Source organism: Homo sapiens, chromosome 8 (assembly GCF_000001405.40).
Source record: "Homo sapiens chromosome 8, GRCh38.p14 Primary Assembly".
Lineage (NCBI taxonomy): Eukaryota > Metazoa > Chordata > Mammalia > Primates > Hominidae > Homo > Homo sapiens.
The window spans coordinates 68,510,306-68,528,446 of NC_000008.11; the positions used below are offsets into that span (position 1 = coordinate 68,510,306).

The 18,141-nt window shown below is 36.9% G+C and overlaps 1 protein-coding gene and 1 pseudogene across 13 annotated transcripts in view, besides 1 other annotated feature; one reads left to right on the forward strand and one right to left on the reverse strand.

Annotated features, from left to right (window-relative positions):
• The window catches only part of C8orf34 (chromosome 8 open reading frame 34), a 488,651-nt gene that overhangs the window by 179,933 nt on the left and 290,577 nt on the right, over positions 1 to 18,141 (forward strand). For all 13 annotated transcript variants that reach the window (NR_146186.1, NR_146187.1, XM_047421328.1 and 10 more), the window contains one exon: positions 11,494 to 11,666. Coding sequence is in view for 11 of the 13 variants with exons in the window: in XM_047421328.1 (XP_047277284.1) it covers positions 11,494 to 11,666 (173 nt within the window). In the remaining 2 variants the exon portion in view is untranslated. The remainder of the gene's footprint in view (positions 1 to 11,493; positions 11,667 to 18,141) is intronic.
• Positions 388 to 1,587: an enhancer, noted in NCBI's record as "CDK7 strongly-dependent group 2 enhancer chr8:69422928-69424127 (GRCh37/hg19 assembly coordinates)". NCBI's record gives its function as "activates an origin of replication core promoter dependent on BRD2, BRD4, P300/CBP, MED14 and CDK7 cofactors, with strong dependence on CDK7, by STARR-seq in HCT116 cells {active_cell/tissue: HCT116}" and the evidence as "EXISTENCE:reporter gene assay evidence [ECO:0000049][PMID:35650434]".
• Positions 15,178 to 15,634, reverse strand: RPS15AP25 (ribosomal protein S15a pseudogene 25; annotated as a pseudogene).

Below are 18,141 nucleotides of genomic sequence, written 5' to 3' on the forward strand. Positions count from 1 at the left end.
GGATGGTGCTTGGCTTTGGTTAGCTCCCTTGGTCTTACTTTCCCAAAAGGAAACCTCTGAGGGATAGGCATCCTATTTATCCCATCACCTGGCAGGATTTGCAGGATAATTGCTCAGAACTAGAATATTAACCCAGGTTTTTACATTAGCTATTCCTCTTGTTCTTTTGGAGCTGCCACCAGAGATTGCTGGTTGGTTCACAGGAACAAGCAGGGTTAGTCTAAAATGTAGGCAAAAACTGAAAAACAACTAGTGAGTTTAGAATTTAATGACAAACGTATGATAAGTTTTGAAACATGATTTCTGTCTTTCCTGTACTCATTTATGTTGAGAAAAAAAATCATAATAGGACCGAGTTGTTTGCAAAATAGACTTTAATCTTATACTTGGCCTGATTATTTGCATAAAGTACAGCAAGAATAATTATTTCTACATTGGCCTTTTGGATTGGCTTTGAGGGAACTCTGTTCCCCCCAAGGAATCTCAGATAAGGCCTTAAAAACCCATCCAAGCCATGGGTTGGGTATTCTCCAATACCTGTGAGTTGTGTGATCCTCTTCTCTTAAGGTCTGAAGATAAACTTGGATCTCCTCGGCCTGTTAGAAAGTGACATTCTTCACTGACCATATGTCAGGAACCCTGTACAGGGACTGCATAGATGAGGGTATGAGGCCAGTCTCCCCAGTGGGCTTATATTGGCTCTGCAAGTTGAGATTGACTCCTTAAAGGGAAGCATACTCTTCCAGTCAAAGCCTTGGTAAAATAACCACTTTCTCCAATTGTGTCCTGTTGCAAAAGAAAAATGGATTCTTATGGCACTGATGCAAACAACTATATTGCTGTTATAAATAAATTTTTTGGTGCTGCCAAAGAAATAGCACTCAAACATAAATTTAATTTTCTCAGCAAGGCAATTTTTACTTCTATAGAATGGTGCGCCTCGTGGATGGAGCAATGGTGAGAGCACACCTGAACAAGGGAGGGGAAGGGGTTTTTATTCCTGATGCAAGTAGCCCCTACTGCTGTGTCATTCCCCTATTGACTAGGGTTGGGCTGCACAGTCTAAGCTAATTTCCACTGGCTATTTTAAAGAGAGCAGGGGTACTAGTTGGAGTGGGGGCAGTGAGTAGTTTGGCGGGAAGGACAGTTACAGAACAGGTGACTCAGGATGAGTCAGGATGGAGCAGGTGACCAGCGGTGACTCAGGTCAAAGCAGATGACCAGGGGAACATATGTGAATTACTAATTAGAACTGGCAGGAAAGTTTTTTTACTGAAACTAGAGGCAAGGGGCGAAGAGAACCAGGAAGTTAAATTTTAAAATGGAGAACAGAAAATAAGAGGGCTGAACATACTGACATGCTGATTCTTTGAAGAGAAACTTGGGGTTCACTAAATTTAACAATGCCATAAGTTAAGAATACTCATGGATAGTTTCCAAATTCTAGAAGAACCAGGCAGAGAGAAACAAACATGCTCCAAATTTTGTTTGTAAGAGTATAACTTACTCAATTATTAAAGGCTGTAAATAGTTCAAAATAAGCTTCCTTGACTCTGAAAAACAAAATATGGATCAGCAATATTCCAAGCAAAAGTCAAAAAGGTTGCTTCAGCTTTCTGATTTTAGTCCATTTAGTTAACTCTGGTTTTGCTTGATATTTGGGAACACTTCAGCTCTTTATGAAGTGTTTTTTTTCTTTATTCAAATGTCACAATCTTCAAAGTTATCAGAAGCCTGTATTTGGGAGCACCTGTTAAATTTCTATGGCTTATTCTCAACCATCTTTTGAAAAGGATTAAAACAAGACAATAATTGTCTGTGAATAGCAAAATGTCCAGGATAGTTACAGTTAGAAACACAACTGACAAAGAAGTTTGGTTATCTTTGTGGTTTACCATAACTTAACATAACAACGTTAATTATGATTGATAGCATATACTTAGACAATAGAATTTTAGAAATCCCATACAATTTTGGAACATACATTAGCGTTATTCACAAAAATATAACCTAAAGAAGAATTGAACATCATTTTGGCAATCCCGTGTACCTAAACATGTTAAATAATCCTGTTTACCTTTCTTTCTGGATGTTTCAGGGGCCCTTTGAACCATTCAAAAAGCCAGGTGTCAGGGAAAACAATTTTGAAAATGAAGTTTGATTTGGGGAAGGCTGTCAAATATGTTCGAGATTTAAAACACCTGATATTATGAAATAGAATTCCACATTATCATAAATTATTTATTTTGCCAAAATGATGAATCAGAAATTTTAAATAAGTAAAAACCTTTTATAACCTTTTATAACTAAATATAACATATTTAGTCAATATGTTCACACAGAGAACCTCTTCTGCAAGATTAATTTTCAGAATTCTTCCACCACTTGTTTGAACTTTTAGCTTTTCCTATCTAATTTAAAGCAGTCCTTTAACCCTAGGCAAAAATTTACATTTCCATACCTCCTTATAACCTTTTACCAAAAAAAAAAAAAACCACCAACAACAAATTTTACTGTTCTTACACACCTTGCATGTAAATCTATTTCCAGTAGTCTCAATTACATGTTATAATTGTAACTCCTAGCAATTTCTCACTTCAAGGTAAAACTTGGTAAGTTGCTTTAACTGTGTGCTAAGTGCAGCCAAGGTTTGACTCCAGCATAATTAAGGGCGTGATTAGTTCCATATGTCCCCAGGCCTTACCAATTGTGAAGCCGGCACATCAAATAGTTTCAAAACCAAAAAAGCAGTTTGTAACCTCAAAACACTTAGCAAACCTTTCATCTGACCTGCATATTTTAGTTCACCTACGTTACATTTTAATGATCCCTGCATTTTACCAATAACCTTTAAGGCTGTTTTTATTTCTGAAAGATTAAAGTCACATGAACTGAAAGGTACCACAGCTTTTAGCTTCCCTTGAAAAAATACTTGATCCAAGCACTTGTCTTTCTTTAGGCCAAATTAATTAGGAGCTCTTATTACAGACATCATACACAGCACAGACACAGACAGGAAGAAGAAAACCTAGTTGCTGGGTGGGATCCTTGAAAAGACAGGGCTAGGGGTACCTGCAGATGTCAAACCAGAAAGGAACTTATTCTCTAAGGTAGGGTTGCTAAACAAAGCCTTGCCACCGGAGTTACAAGCCATGCCCTCAGGATGTAAAACAAGACAGAGGCTTGATTTCACAATCAAAACTTTGCAGAGAATATAAACAGTGATACTTGTGGGGCCTGGCCTAGTAAAAACGTCTTCTAAAAGGAATAAAAAATAAAAGTTAACTGCTGACGGGGTAGAGAAGAAGAAAAAAACAGCTTAAATATGCCTGGTGAAGAACCTTTTATTCTTATGCAAGTGGTTCCTCCACCAGGAGAAATGCTTAATTACTGTCCAATGAAGCTGAACCCCTTGTCCAGGGAAGGGGAACGCAGTGGCAGCACATGGCTGGGAACCAGCCAGTTGGCTGTGTGGGACCTTTGGGCCATGTGATCCCAGCCCTAGCAGGGAGCAGGGAGTGGCAGGGAGCTGCTGCTTGCCGGTCTGTCCCAGAAAAGGAAGGAAAAGGCCATGAAAAAGCCCGGGAGTGATGAGGGGTGGGGGTATGGTTTCCGCTATCCTCAGAAGTCTGAGGATGAAAAGGCTTAGAAGCAACAGGAAGAGATTTTGAATCCCCATTTTACTCACCATTTCTCAAGCCCCATGTTGGGCATCAAAAATGTTGCAGGACTTTTCCTTAGTTCAGTTAAAGATGAGGTTCTTTGTCCCACAGCCACGAAAATTCAGGCTCGCAGACAATTTGAATGGTGAGTAAGACATGGTTTTATTGGGTGAAAAAGGAGTAAAAGGTGGAAACAGGGACTCTCGCTAGGCCAGAGTCCCTGCTAGAGTGCTTCCCACCTCACAGTTCAGATCCCAGCTTCCACACAGGATGAGGAGGGGACAGGCTCCTCCCTGCTGCAAATGTTGTGAACCTCTGTGTCTCCACCTCAGTGCTCAGGCTGGTTGAGGTTTCTCTAAGGATACCCTCCCACCTGGCTGTCTCAGATGCAGGAAGGTGAAGAATCAGGGCCATTAAGTCTATCATTCTACCACCCACTAATGGTATTATCATGCAAGGCAACCAGGGATCTGTCAACGTGTACAGGGCAGCTGCTTGCATCAGCTCCCTCTCATTTTTAGTCTGGACTTGGATTTCCCTTCTGATGGTTTCTCTTCTTTTCCCACAGGTTATTTTCTCCTAAGCTTTGCATTCAAATGATGTCTTGTTCCATTTCAGCTAGAAGTATTAAATATTTTGAAGAGTGAGTGTTTTCAGAATATCCAGCCCATAATATGAGGAGAAATAGCAGTGCAAAAATTATTAAAATTATTTATTAAGATAGCGTATAATTTGCTTTTCTAGCCTATAGGACATGGCTACCTGGCTTTTGTGACTGGGCTTTTGTAGTCCATAAAATTTTTTCTATAATTGGTCTTATTTTCATTCAACAGTGTAACAGTTACCCAAATAGTTGGAGTTGGGGTATTTGTGGATCAGGCAGAAACACAATAAGAGAAATATAAGAAAATAGAAGTTCATCAAGGAGGGGAGTGCAATTTTATAGTAGGAGATAATTTTAAGGAAGAGATTATGGGAATCAGCAAACAAAATGAACAGGGGGGAATGGAACAGATATGAGTCAGAATGAGAAAGCTGGCATTGAAACAATTGAATAGTGTATACGTGTTCAATATACTAAGTGCACATGATAAAAAGTAGTTTATTTTAATTAGCTAGATTATTGTAATCATTTCATGCTATATATGTACATTTAAAAAATCACTTTGTACACCTTAAATATATACAATTTTTGTCAGTCATACGATTTTCAAAAAGTAGTTTAATTATTTGGGAAGCCTTTCTAAACAATGTAGGAATAGAACCTGAGTTCTGAGATCTGACCTCACTTATTTAGTTTTTTTTTTTGTCTTTTTCCTGTAATGCCTACAGCCCTCCCTTTTTTCCTTCTTTCTCCAGCTGCTCTATGTAAATTACATGCTATGAGATATAGAAGATAATTTCTCTTTTTTTTCTTTTTTTTTTTATAGAAGTTAATTTCTCATCTTCACCACTTAAGTGTGGGTAGATACAAATCAGCAAGATTGGCCTGTGTTTCATAAACTTTCCAACGTTAACCATCTTAAAGCAGTGTAAACCCAAATGATCTTATGTCCTTGCACTCCATTTATAATTGATATTGTGAAAAGTATATGCAAACAAAGTTGAAACTTAGTAACAAAACTCGAGAGCCACAATCATCTCATTAATATGTTCTGAGTAAAATAAAAGCAATTTTCTCCTTTTACATTATTCATATTACAGTTTTAATGTATTGACTAGTAAGATGCAGATGGTTCCAGGTTTTTCACTGAATGTAATATAAAGTTTTTGGGAAGAATGTATTCTGTTAAGTAAATATCATTAAAGATTAAAAATTCTTTGAATACTCTTTTCAACAGCTGATGTGATGTACTGGCCTTCAGCCAGTACACACAAATTGTACTATGTATGAATCAGTTCACACTAATTATTACAAAGAATAAGAGCTAGTGGGAAAAGAGCTAACAGTCCGCTTACATTACCATCTTTAATCCCTAACTTGAATTCAGTGTGTATATTGATGTGTATAGATCAATGTGCATAGATGTTTATTATCTATTCCAAACATCTAATGTGTTTGTGTAACAGAATTGTGTTCCAAAAACTTCCTTTTTTGAAATAGCAGGATCAAAATAATTTATCCAAACCTTAAGAGTTCATAAGAAATATTTCATTTAAAAAAATGACCATCTTGTAGACATTCTTCTTATATGGCTTAAAAAGCACATTAATCAGTGTTGTCTGGGAATCATTTACATGATTTTGGTTAGACGTAGAGATACTTCGTAATTCACTGCATATGCACTGTTTTTCATTCTTGAGGATTTTAAAAATTCGTTCAACACATCTTTTCGTGTTTATTTTCATGAAATCAGAATTATGCTATTTATTATGAGGGGAGCAAAGGAGTTTAAGATATGATCTCAGCCTTCCATAAACATCCAGTTTTATTAACAAGAGGAAATAGAGTCACATAACTTGGAGTATAATCAAGTGCTGTGCTGAGAACCAGTGGTCATAGTAGTTGAACTCTTGGAATAACCACTGAAAGCAGACTTCTTGGAGAGAGAGCCTAGGACAAGGTAACTACTTCCTGGATAGGTGAGCTTCTTGCTGATAAGCCATACTGCAGAAATTGGTAAGCTTTGAGAGAATTTTTGACTGGGAATGCTATTTATTTATTTATTTATTTATTTATTTTTTATTTATTTGAGATGGAGTCTCTTTGTCACCCAGGCTGGAGTGCAGTGGCATGATCTTGGCTCATTGCAACCTCCTCCTCCCAGATTCAAGTGATTCTCCTGCATCTGCCTCCCGAGTAGCTGAGATTATAGGCGTGTGCCACCACGCCCAGCTAATTTTTTTTATTTTTAGTAGAGATGGGGTTTCACAATGTTGGTCAGGCTGGTCTCGAACTCCTGACCTTGTCATCTGCCCACTTTGGCCTTCCAAAGTGCTGGGATTACAGGTGTGAGCCACCACACCCTGCCTGCTTTTCTTATTAAAGTTACGCTGACTTGCTTAAGAACGTCAAAACCTAGGGACCTCTATACTTGAAAGGGCAAAGGAACATGCATTTTTACATTACTAAAGAATAATTAGGATTTTAAAAGTTTATCTCTGAAATTTTAAATGTTTTTTTACCCATGTATTTAAAATATTTTCAAAATAATTTTTAATTCGTTTACATTTTTAAATTACTTTTGCCATGGATTGCTGTGTTATGTTATATGAAGTGTTTAGAACTGCTGTCTTCACTAAAACCCTTTCATAAAGATCTATGGAAGGATGTTTACTTAGCTTAATCAAATATAAATAATATAACCAAAACTCTGCTACTTTGATCTACTATGTGTAAAAAGGCTATATTCAAAATTTTTCAGAAATATATACATTTTTAAAAGGAGAAAGTGCTCTTTGCTTCCATTTTTTCATCAACACTAGAATGGGAGGAATATAAAGAGCTTTGTGAATTTAGAAAAATATAGTAGAGCCCCATTTTTCACCTGTAAAATATTCACTTCCTAACTCCTCTGACTCTGTTTGCAGCTCTTAGTATTGCTTTGCTTGTCAGCTATTTCTCACTAAATTTCTACACCAGGTGGAGTTAAACATCCTGAATATCACACTGTTTATTCTCTCTCTGTGCTCTACTTTTCAATAGCAATACATCTACCATTGCATTTGATTTCCTAGTAAGCAACCAGGGAGTTAGTTCTGATTCTCTACTGCTCTCCACTTTCTGATTATACCCAACTCTAAAACCTTTTTCACTCTTTGGCTTACAGTGCCTAAACTCATCTATTTCTGTTGTTCCAGTGGTCAATTTCTTTGTTCATTTCTTTGTTTCAAGTACCATCTACTTTGAGCCTATAGCTAGACAAATCTCCAAGCCCAATTCTGCCCCATATGTAAATGAGATTAATAACATTGAATTAATTATTCAACCTTTTAAATATAACATCTATAAAATGAAACTTTATAGGATGAAAATCTGCACTGTCAATTCCCTGTTCTGTTTCTCTGCCCTTATTGACTACCATGTATCTATTCTTACTCAATTTGTCCATTCCACAGTGATACATCAAATATATAGAAATGACTTGAATACAGTTCACACTCTTAAATAATTGTATCTGGCTTATACACAGAATTTTATGGTTTATCTGTATCCCAAACCTCAGCATCACCCAATATACCCATGAAACAACCCTACATGTGCACCTCCTGAATCCAAATTTTAAAAAAGGAAGAAGGCACAATTTATACTGAAGTTTGGTCATGTCCCTTGGTGAGACTACCACTGCTGAATCCAGTCCATGTTGAGCTTCAGCTTCCTCTTCTCTGAACTAGTATATTTAATTACAAAACACACATGTGGGGCCATTTATATATATATAAATTTGTATATAATCTTATTTTGTACTTTACATGTTTGTATCTCTTCCCTCAAAATAAACAGAATAGCAATGAAAAACCTTTAGAATATGGATCATAGACTTAATACATTTAATGTGCTTCCTCTGACCCTCCCTTTAGGGCCCTAAATAACAGACAGCCTCTAGTATATCAAGCCAGAAAAAGACGCCAACTCTCCAAACTCATAGTCCAAGGTAGATTTTGTGAACATTCTGTTGTTGGCTTTTGATTTAGCCTTAAAATTTGTGGCCGGGTGCGGTGGTTCATGAATGTAATCCCAGCACTTTGGGAGGCCAAGGTGCGTGGATCACAAGGTCAAGAGATTGAGACCATCCTGGCCAACATGGTGAAAGCCCATCTCTACTAAAACTACAAAAATTAGCTGGGCATGGTGGTGTACACCTGTACCCAGCTATTTGGGAGGCTGAGGCAGGGGAATTGCTTGAACCCAGGAGGTGGAGGTTGCAGTGAGCCAAGATCGTGCCACTACACTCCAGCCTGGCGACAGAGCAAGACTCAAAAAAAAAAAAAAAAAGGCAAGTATGCAAAAAAAAGTGGTAGATACAGGGGAATATGTTACATAAATTGTGATTGAAAGAACAGTGGCAATCAAGGGTCTAGTTTTATTCTTTTCTCATACATTGTACGATGATAAAATGTGCTTCAAAATGAAAAATTTATTGTAAAACTACGATCAAGCGTATTAAAGTAAGAATTAAAAGACACAGATCTAAGGCTTAGCTTTCCCATTTAATAGAAGTGACTGTTCGAAGTATCAGATTCTTTAGCTTCCTTTGGTCTTTATGTATGAGACCTTGACATTTAAAGTAATAGTGCTCATTGTCAACTTAATTGTAAACATAAACACAAACTTGGGCACTTACATCATGCAACTCTACTTTCTGGTCAGTCAGGAGATGCAGAACACACCTGTATTACTTTTGGAAAGTTATGAAAATTAAAATACAAATTTCGTATACATATGTGTGTATATATAATCATTTTTTCTCAGAGACCTCATAGCTCACTAAGAATACATCCACACACATTTAAGACACAGTGACACACAGCAATTCTATTTTAAAAGCCTGCAAAGCAGAGCCAGTTGAATTGTTTTTGTTATTCTCCAATAAAAGAAGTATAGGAATTGAGATAATTTAGTGAATTTTATAGCAATCTGATATTTGTTGAATGAAAACATTTCATTCAATATAACCCTTGGCTTATATTTTATATGACTTTGTTTTGTAAAGATTGTTGTTTATGATTATTGATTTTCATGGTCTTTTATGAAAATATTAGTCCTGAGGGTTTGAAAATTAAAGCAAAACAAATTTTTTAAAAAATGGTCTTTCACCTGGGGGTGGGGGGGAAGAATTTTATGGTTTAACTATGTTATTTACTAATTCATTTGATACAATAGGCTTTATAATTCTTATCATCCCCATTTTATAGTTGGAGAAAATGAAATTCAAGGAATAAGTAACATTGTAAAGTCTCACAGATGGAAAAGTATTCTGAAGTTGTAAATGTTTATAGATTTTTAAATTCAAAAACATGTCTTCACAGTCATCTGCTTTAAAAAGTAAATACAGATTTAAAATTGAACAGTATCGTTAACTTTAGTTTCTGTTCTTCAAATAATATTAAATTGTGGCAGATGCATATGCCCTTCTGATTGTTTGAAAACATTCATTTGATTGCATTATTTTACAGCTGAAATCCATTGTAGTGCTTTAATTTTCTGATGTGAGGGATATAAGTATAGAAAGAGTTCAGATTACTTGCTAAGTTTTACAAACACTGGTCCTAAAATGTACCTGCTGTATTTTCATGTAGGCTGGATCAATATTAAGATATCTAATTCCTTTCTGTCACTTGCTATTACTTGAAGAAATGCTCATCAAATATGTTCTAAATCATATTTCATGTGTTGCTTTTGGTATTATATTTGTATGTTGATTATATATTACATTGTATGTACTGTAAGATTATATTGTATTATATTCTGTACTGAAATGTAGAATATGTTGTGAAGTCTGAAGACTCAGAACACCATCTGAATTTTTATTGTTTTTTTTAAATTTTATTTTTATTTTTAAGACGCAGTCTTGCTCTGTTGCCCAGGCTGGAGTGCAGTGGCACGATCTCGGCTCACTGCAAGCTCCACCTCCCGGGTTCACACCATTCTCCTGCCTCAGCCTCCCGAGTAGCTGGGACTACAGGTGCCCGCCATCACGCCCGGCTAATTTTTTTTTTTTTTTTTTTGTATTTTTAGTAGAGACGGGGTTTCACCGTGTTAGCCAGGATGGTCTTGATCTCCTGACCTCGTTATCTGCACACCTCGGCCTCCCAAAGTGCTGGGCTTACAGGCGTGAGCCACCGCGCCCAGCCCACCTTCTGAATTTTTAAAGAATTGTTCAAGACTATTGTAATAGTAAAATTTATCACTAAACATATTTAAGCAAGGCTTATATTTTTCAGCTGAAGAGGCATTAAAAATATATTTTTCTCATTACATATTTACTGTAGCAAATAGAAATGATGTTGCAATGCAAAAAGAAGAAACTAAAATTACCTGTAGTTCCTTCATTCAGATAAAGGCACTATTAAATTTTGATTTTATTTTACCATTGTTTTCCTCAGCATATCAAGCAGTTCTTTGCCTGTAGCAAGTCTTAATAAATATTAGAGAGTGAAGAAATGAATGAATTAGTGAACAAGAAACGGATATACACTGATATGAATTTTTTAAACAAAATCTAGATTATAAGTATTGCTTTTTAACTTGCCCTTTTTTCACATAACAAAAAATCCCTAGCAATACATGTATTCAGTATTCTACTACAATAGTATTTTAATAGCTGTATCATATCCGAGTCCATGAAAACAGATTACTAACATTTGTTGAATTAGCATAACATATCTGCCATTGATAGTGCTGTGTTTCGAATTTCTACTGGATCCTGAAATGTCTAAAATGCTTTGCAGTTGGAGGCAATACACCCTTCGAGCCCTATCTCTTCTTGTCCCTATCCCCTGACCCCAACCCAGTTTCTACCTGGGCAATTATTTACTATTTCCCAGCAGTGACACCAAGCTCTCTGCCTATGTGGGCCGCCCTGTTTACAACACACTCTTCCTTCTGCCTTGAATGCTCATCCCACACCTCTTTCCTGAGAGCACACTTGCAGCCTTCCAAATTCAAAGCAAAGATTTCACTCCTGGGTCCTTTATCACAGTGACCTTAGGAATTAGCATAAATCACTAGAACAAGCTATCTAGTAGAGTTGGAGGAAACTGAAGTTTTGTATCAATTCAGAAAGACAAAAAGCATTTGACAGTCAAATATCTAGGCAACTTTATTTCCCTGTTGTCCTGTTAATAAGAAAAAGCCATCTAAGACAGCATATTCTTTTCTTCTCTTCAGGAAACAGTGACATTTAATTCTTCTCTTCTGAGGCCCCGTGTGATTGGAGAATGGATTGGTAGAGAAGAAAATGATGCTGATCCCCTAGCTGCTGAAATGCTACAGCCTCCAATTCCAAGAAGCAAAAATGACCAATGGGAAAGTGAAGATAGTGGCTCTAGTCCTGCAGGAAGGTGAGATGAGCTGTCTGCTGAGATTCTATATTACTAGTCATTAAAAGGTAAAGGGAAAATAAACCCAAGTTCATGGTTTTTATGAAATCCGTTTTAGTAATTTTTTATAGAAAATTATGTTAGTCTATACATAGGATAAAAACATCAATTGCTGTCTCTTAAAATGAGAGTTTCAGACCTGCTTTGGAGTTTTGGTGTTGATTTGTTTTCTTCAAATCTAGATCACCATATCTTTGCTACTAAAACCAAATAGAGAATTAATTTCAAGATATGCTGCCAGTCAAGACCTACTATAATATTGGACAGAGAGTGGCTGGCTGTTAAGAATTGGAGAGGAGGGACTTCTGATGTACCAGAAAGATATTGTTAATCATCAGGGATAATAAAATTATTAAATGTATAATAGACCATAGGAGGCAAAGTTAATATTGACCATAAAGAAAGAGAAGCCTTAGTTAGAACCATTTAAGTTTAGAGTTGATAACTATGATTGAATATATTTATTAACATATATATTCTTTGTTTAATTTTTGAAACTGCTATTATTTGTAAATGTGAAAGTCCATACTTTGATTTTACTTAGACCCCTAATGCTCAAAATGGTGGCAGGAGATTTACTTTACGTGCCCATGTGCTGGTAATAGTGAATTAATGTTGAAATGTCCAGATCTTATTTATTGGAAAAACTATATTCAGAGTAATTTTTTTTTGTAATACCAGTTGCAACGAGTAAAACTCAAAACAAAAATGAAAATTTCTGCAAAGTATCTGGGGTGAAAAATATCACGGGAGGCATGGCTTAGACAAGATTGCAAAAACAAATATTCATGAATGGAAATGTGACAGGAGTTTAAGCTTTCTGTGAGTGTTACCAGCTGCCCGTCACAGAAGAGTTTTTCCTGTGCATAGCATAGCCACAGTAACTTGGCATTTTCTATGTTAAATTTAGCAGCAACCAATAACTGTTCTTTCTCAAGGAGAAAATTGTATTTTCTACAATGTAATAGCTTTCAGGGGTTCTTTGCGGTGACTTATCACTTGGCTGGAGGGAAGGAAATTCAGAATACTCATTAATGTGCTTCAGGCCTACAGAAAATTGATTCTATTTCCATGAGAAATAACTTTTAAATTATTTAAATAGTTGAAGTGTCCTGTGTGAGGAGAGGAAAACCATTTATAAAGATCCATTTACCTTCTTTGTGAAATGCCAGATCAATTTCATCTGTCAATGAGGGTAATTTTTTTAATACCAGGCTTATAAAACCTACTAGACTTTTATCTTTATTCATTGGTAGATCTTTAGTTCTTAAATGTAAAATAGAGAAATGTCAACTTTCATTGTACTTTCATTTAGTCATAATAATAATCAGAACTATTTATCTCAAGTGTCAGTCTATTTTCTTCCTAGCTTCAGTGAGCTCTTATTCCCACCTGAATACTCAATAAGGGAGAACCTCTTCTCTAATCCTAGCGGACTCCCTTATCTAGAAAACTCAGTCCATGAACCTGTCTCTTAAATGTTTGTCTTAATTTTTTTCAGCTTTATTTTGCTCTGTCTTTAAATTATAAATTGAGGTATTACACTGTGACAAGAAAGAGCTGGTGAAATTCTGCCCAGGTGCCCCCATTAGAGTAGAAAGAATACATGCATATCTGAATTAAATTTCAGGAACAGCAGTAAACCATGGGCTAGAAACTATATTTTCTCCATCTTCTAATACAAAATAGGATTTTTGAATTGATACCAGCAACTCACACCGCATTAGATTTGATTTGGATCAAGCAGAAAGGGTTGGAGAAAATTTTTTAATGGCTCCAGAGTCCGTAACTATAGTATTAGCTTTTACCCTTAAATAGAAATGAACCTGTACTATACTTTAATGACCAACTGACAAAATCGTATCCTAGACTCCTGAAAGAGAAAACTTAATTTTCAAGCATGACTCCATCCATTTTTCACCTCACCCTCTCCACTGGGGCTGGCACATTTTTGTTGTCGTTTGACATCTGTTACATGAGTGACAAAGGCACAGGCTGACGCTAGGCATCTGCTAAATAAAGCTTATTGATGAGAAGAACCATTTATAGTCTTATCTTTATTTCTTGCAGCCTTTCCTATCTCAATTTTTCTCTATTGTGCATTAAGTCTTACTCAAATGGCTACTACAACACTCCATCTTTGTTACATAGCCAGCTTTCCTTTTCATGCAGAATAATAGATACATGATAGGCTAGAGTTTCACCATTAGATTAGAGGGAATTAAATAAATGGCATAATAAACCTTGAGAGTCTTATGCGTAGAAGCTTACCCCCTTTTTTAATGATGTACTGTATGTGAACTTCTTTCCCTAGGTCCCCCAAATATGACATTGTATGAAGAGGTTAATAAGTATGTTACAAATAGTTTGATACAAATGACACCTGAAGCATTAAGTGCTGGTTAGAAAAGAAACTGTGAGGGTGATAAATGGAAACTAGCAGACTAAGACAAGAGATACTAACATGGAGTCCTGCCACATCTTTCTTAGATTCTCAAAGCAGTTCAGAATTAAGAGTGCTTAAGAAAGAAATTAAAGCATTTGAGTAAGAAAAGTGAGAGGAATTCACCGAACAGAGAGGTGAATGTGTTGGGAAATGATTGAAGTCTTTCTGTGAGTGTCAGATCCTACCAATTGGTATCAATTGCTATGACTTGCCTAGCTATTTAGTGGGAAAACATATACATTCATTGCACATTTAGAGTTATTAAAAATAATCCCATGTTTATAATATAAATGTAAACAAAAATTGAATTTAATAAGCCTATATACTCTTATTTTAAGCCATTTTAATTAAACTTTGCAATAGCTGAGTAATGGATTTTCTAAAATTACTTATTAAATTGTAATGTGAATTTGTAAATATGCTCATTAAGCCTTGAAGCCTAATGAAGTTCCTCTAAAGCTGAATCACCTTATTAAAACAAAAATAATATCCATAAATACTGTAGATCTGGTGAATTGGCTTTCTTTCTTAAGTGAACACTGTTAGATTGAAAATAGGTCACAAAATAAAGAGAAAATTTTATAATTTAGAAATGTGTATGAAATATTAAAATAAGAGCTAAATTCACTTCCCATTAGGAAGTTTTCTTTCCATTAAAGCTCATAATTGCTTCTAACATACCTGTGAATAAAACCTGGAAATGGTCCCCTTCCTCTTAGAATTTTTTCTATTGGCAGAAAGAGACAAGCAGTAAACAAGTGAATATACAAATATATGCCATAAATTCAAGTAGTGATAGGTATGATGGAATATAAATCAAATTTAGTAATTTAGAAATAATCTAACATGGAAATTTTAAGCATAAATAATTGTAATTGATTAATATGTAATCTGCCCAAGAAATCAAAGAACAGAAGGCTTGAAATATCTAAAACACACAAAAATTATACCTCATAACTTATAAATTTCTTAATTTCTTTTTTAGTACAAGTTCAATCCAAAACAAATTTCTTTTTGGTTTCCCTCTGAGGCATTTTATTTGTAAGTATGTATTACATCCCTAGAAAAAGAATCCCAGGATTTTCCCTCCTGTGTGTCTTCGTCTTACTTCTTTGTGGTCCATGATGCCAGCTGAGGTTGTCAGTACAATGAAACCGAACTGGTCAGATGGGAGCAGATTATGCTGCCATTTTTCTAGATCTTTGAGTTGCACATGAAACCTGGGGCTGATCACTCCATATTTGTTTAGCCTGCCTGTGAGGTTCACAACAATCTTCCCAGCTCTGTGATCATCAATGATTTTAGATTCACCAGTGTAGCCATGCTTCATCACAGTGAGAAACAGGATGATAACTCTGGAGCATGGCTTGATAAGAACCTGGTGTTTGTCTCTCTTTTTAGCATTGTGGATGTTCCTGAGAATATCAACCAAGACATTCATGTGCACCATTGTGGCAGCATGGAAAGATGGCAGCTGAAAGAGACAAATTTCTTTCTTTCTTTTTTTTTTTTTTTTTTTTGAGACAGAGTCTCACTCTGTCACACAGACTGGAGTGCAGTGGTGTTATCTTGGCTCACTGCAGACTCTCCCTCCCAGTTCAAGTGAGCCTCCCACCTTAGCCTCCTGAGAAGCTGGGACTACAGGTGTGCCCCACCATGCCCAGCTAATTTCTTTTAAATTTTTTGTAGAGATGGGGTTTCACTATGTTGCCCAGGCAGGTCTTGTATTCCTGGATTCAAGCAATCCACCCATCTTGGCCCCAAAGTGCTGGGATTACAGGTATGAGCCACCATGCCTGTTTAAGATAAATTTCTTTTTAAAGCCAAAAGAGCATGCATTTAATTTCAGATCATTGATGAAGTCATCTGGACAGGTTGAAAGTTTTCTTTTTATTTATTTAGTATTCATTTGCTTATGTTAATACCAGGTAATGTGCTAGATACTGGATAAGACTGACATGACAAAAAATCCTAGACTCAAAGGAATTGCTTAAAAGTGGAGGAGAATGATTTTTAAAAATTTTGTTACTGCTCAGTTCACAGTACTAGGTATATGACAAGCACTTAAGTGTCTGCTAAACTGATTCTAAAACATCATATTTATATATTCTTAAAAATAGCTCTTACGCATAAAAATCTATATGCAACAATTGAGTGTGAAACTTTTCATGACCTCTTCAACTTCCAAGGCCTTAGTGCAAAGGGCACCCTTTAATTAATGACTGGAGTCAAAAAAAAAAAAAAGGACACAGGTTCAGCCTACAAGACTGTGAGGGTGAACTCAACAAGCTTAGGAGATAGTCCAAGAAATCATCCAATTTTTCACCAAAAAGAACGCATGGAATCAGATCAAACTAAATGTTTACCAACCTATGCTCAGAAAGAAAGCGTGAAACTAAACGGAGCAAGCTCAGGCCCACGAGTGAGACAGGAGTCAGGAGGAGGAGGGCCAGTGGTCAGAATGAAGGCTCAGGAGGCTCCACCTGCTCAGGCAGGCCCACAGGGGAGGTTCTGTGGGGTGACCTCTTTAAACTGTTCCTTTCCATTTGATCCTGGTTTAGAAATCACTCTTCTAAACCAAAGCAAAATGGATTCCTTGAGTATATGAACACCAAATTGAAATATTAACTGCTAGTCTTTCTCATCAGGCCTCTTTTTGTACACTTTCTCTTGATGTGGGATATTATGGCTCAAGAGGAGGCGTTCACATGTCCAGGATGCCCCCTTTGTGTTCTTTGAACACATAATGATATTAATTACCACTTAGAGGCTGCTCTATGTGCTTTGCATATTGTAACCCATTTCATCCTTATGAAAACACTATTATTCAGAAATGAGAGGCCCGGCGCAGTGGCTCACGCCTGTAAGCGCTCTGGGAGGCCGAGGCGGGCGGATCACAAGGTCAGGAGGTCGAAACCATCCTGGCTAACACGGTGAAACCCCGTCTCTACTAAAAATACAAAAAATTAGCCGGGCGTGGTGGTGGGCGCCTGTAGTCCCAGCTACTCGGGAGGCTGAGGCAGGAGAATGGCGTGAACCCGGGAGGTGGAGCTTGCAGTGAGCTGAGATCGTGCCACTGCACTCCAGGCTGGGTGACAGAGCAAGACTCCGTCTCAAAAAAATAAAAAATAAAAAATTAATGAGGAAACTAAGTCCCAGAGTGGCTACATCCCCATCCCAAGATTGATAGCCGTTAGGTCACTGAGCTAGGCTGCCTTGCTTCAAATTCTGTGCATTTAAATCCTTTGCTCTACAGTCTCTCTTCAGAAAGCTGTTCTAAGAATCCTGTTATTAAGCTTTAGGTTCAAATCTGGGAAAGAGGGGCCTCGGAACCCTAAGTGCTCTTAGAAAAACCCCTCTTGTTCTGATCTCACTCAACACCATCTGTATGAACACTCCTGCATCCCTGCAGCAGGCAGCTATTTTTTCTTAATGGTTGTAGGATCCACAGGCTGTGGGGCTGGAGAAGAGGGTGGTGTCATCCTTTATCGTCTGCTGCTTCCAGATCTTGCTGTCTCCTCCCTAAAACAATCCCCAGTTCTGCATCTTGTTCTGAATTTCCCAGTGTGTTAATTTCCCACATCATCTTCTAGCAATAATTTGCTAACTGCCAGCCATTCCCCTTTCTCTGAACATTCAAATGTCCGGCTCCTGTAACTCTCCCCAGTAGCTTTGCTGCATTGGTTAAGTCAGCGTCAACATCATCGGTGATCCTTCCCCAAACCTGGCCTCTCACTTTCTTTACCTACTCTTCGCCATGTATCTTGAATTCCACCCTACCTCCCCATCACTCCCTCTGTCATATCCTAGACCTTCTCATTCTCATTATCTGCAAATCCATGATGTCAATTTCAGGCATCTCACTTTCTGACTACCACCTGTCGTCTTTCTAGTTTATTGCCTCTGACACTCAGCTTTAACTGGGACCCCAAAAACACTGAGACTGCCAAAGTTTTCTTGTTTCTCACCCACCTTGTTCTTAATTTTTCT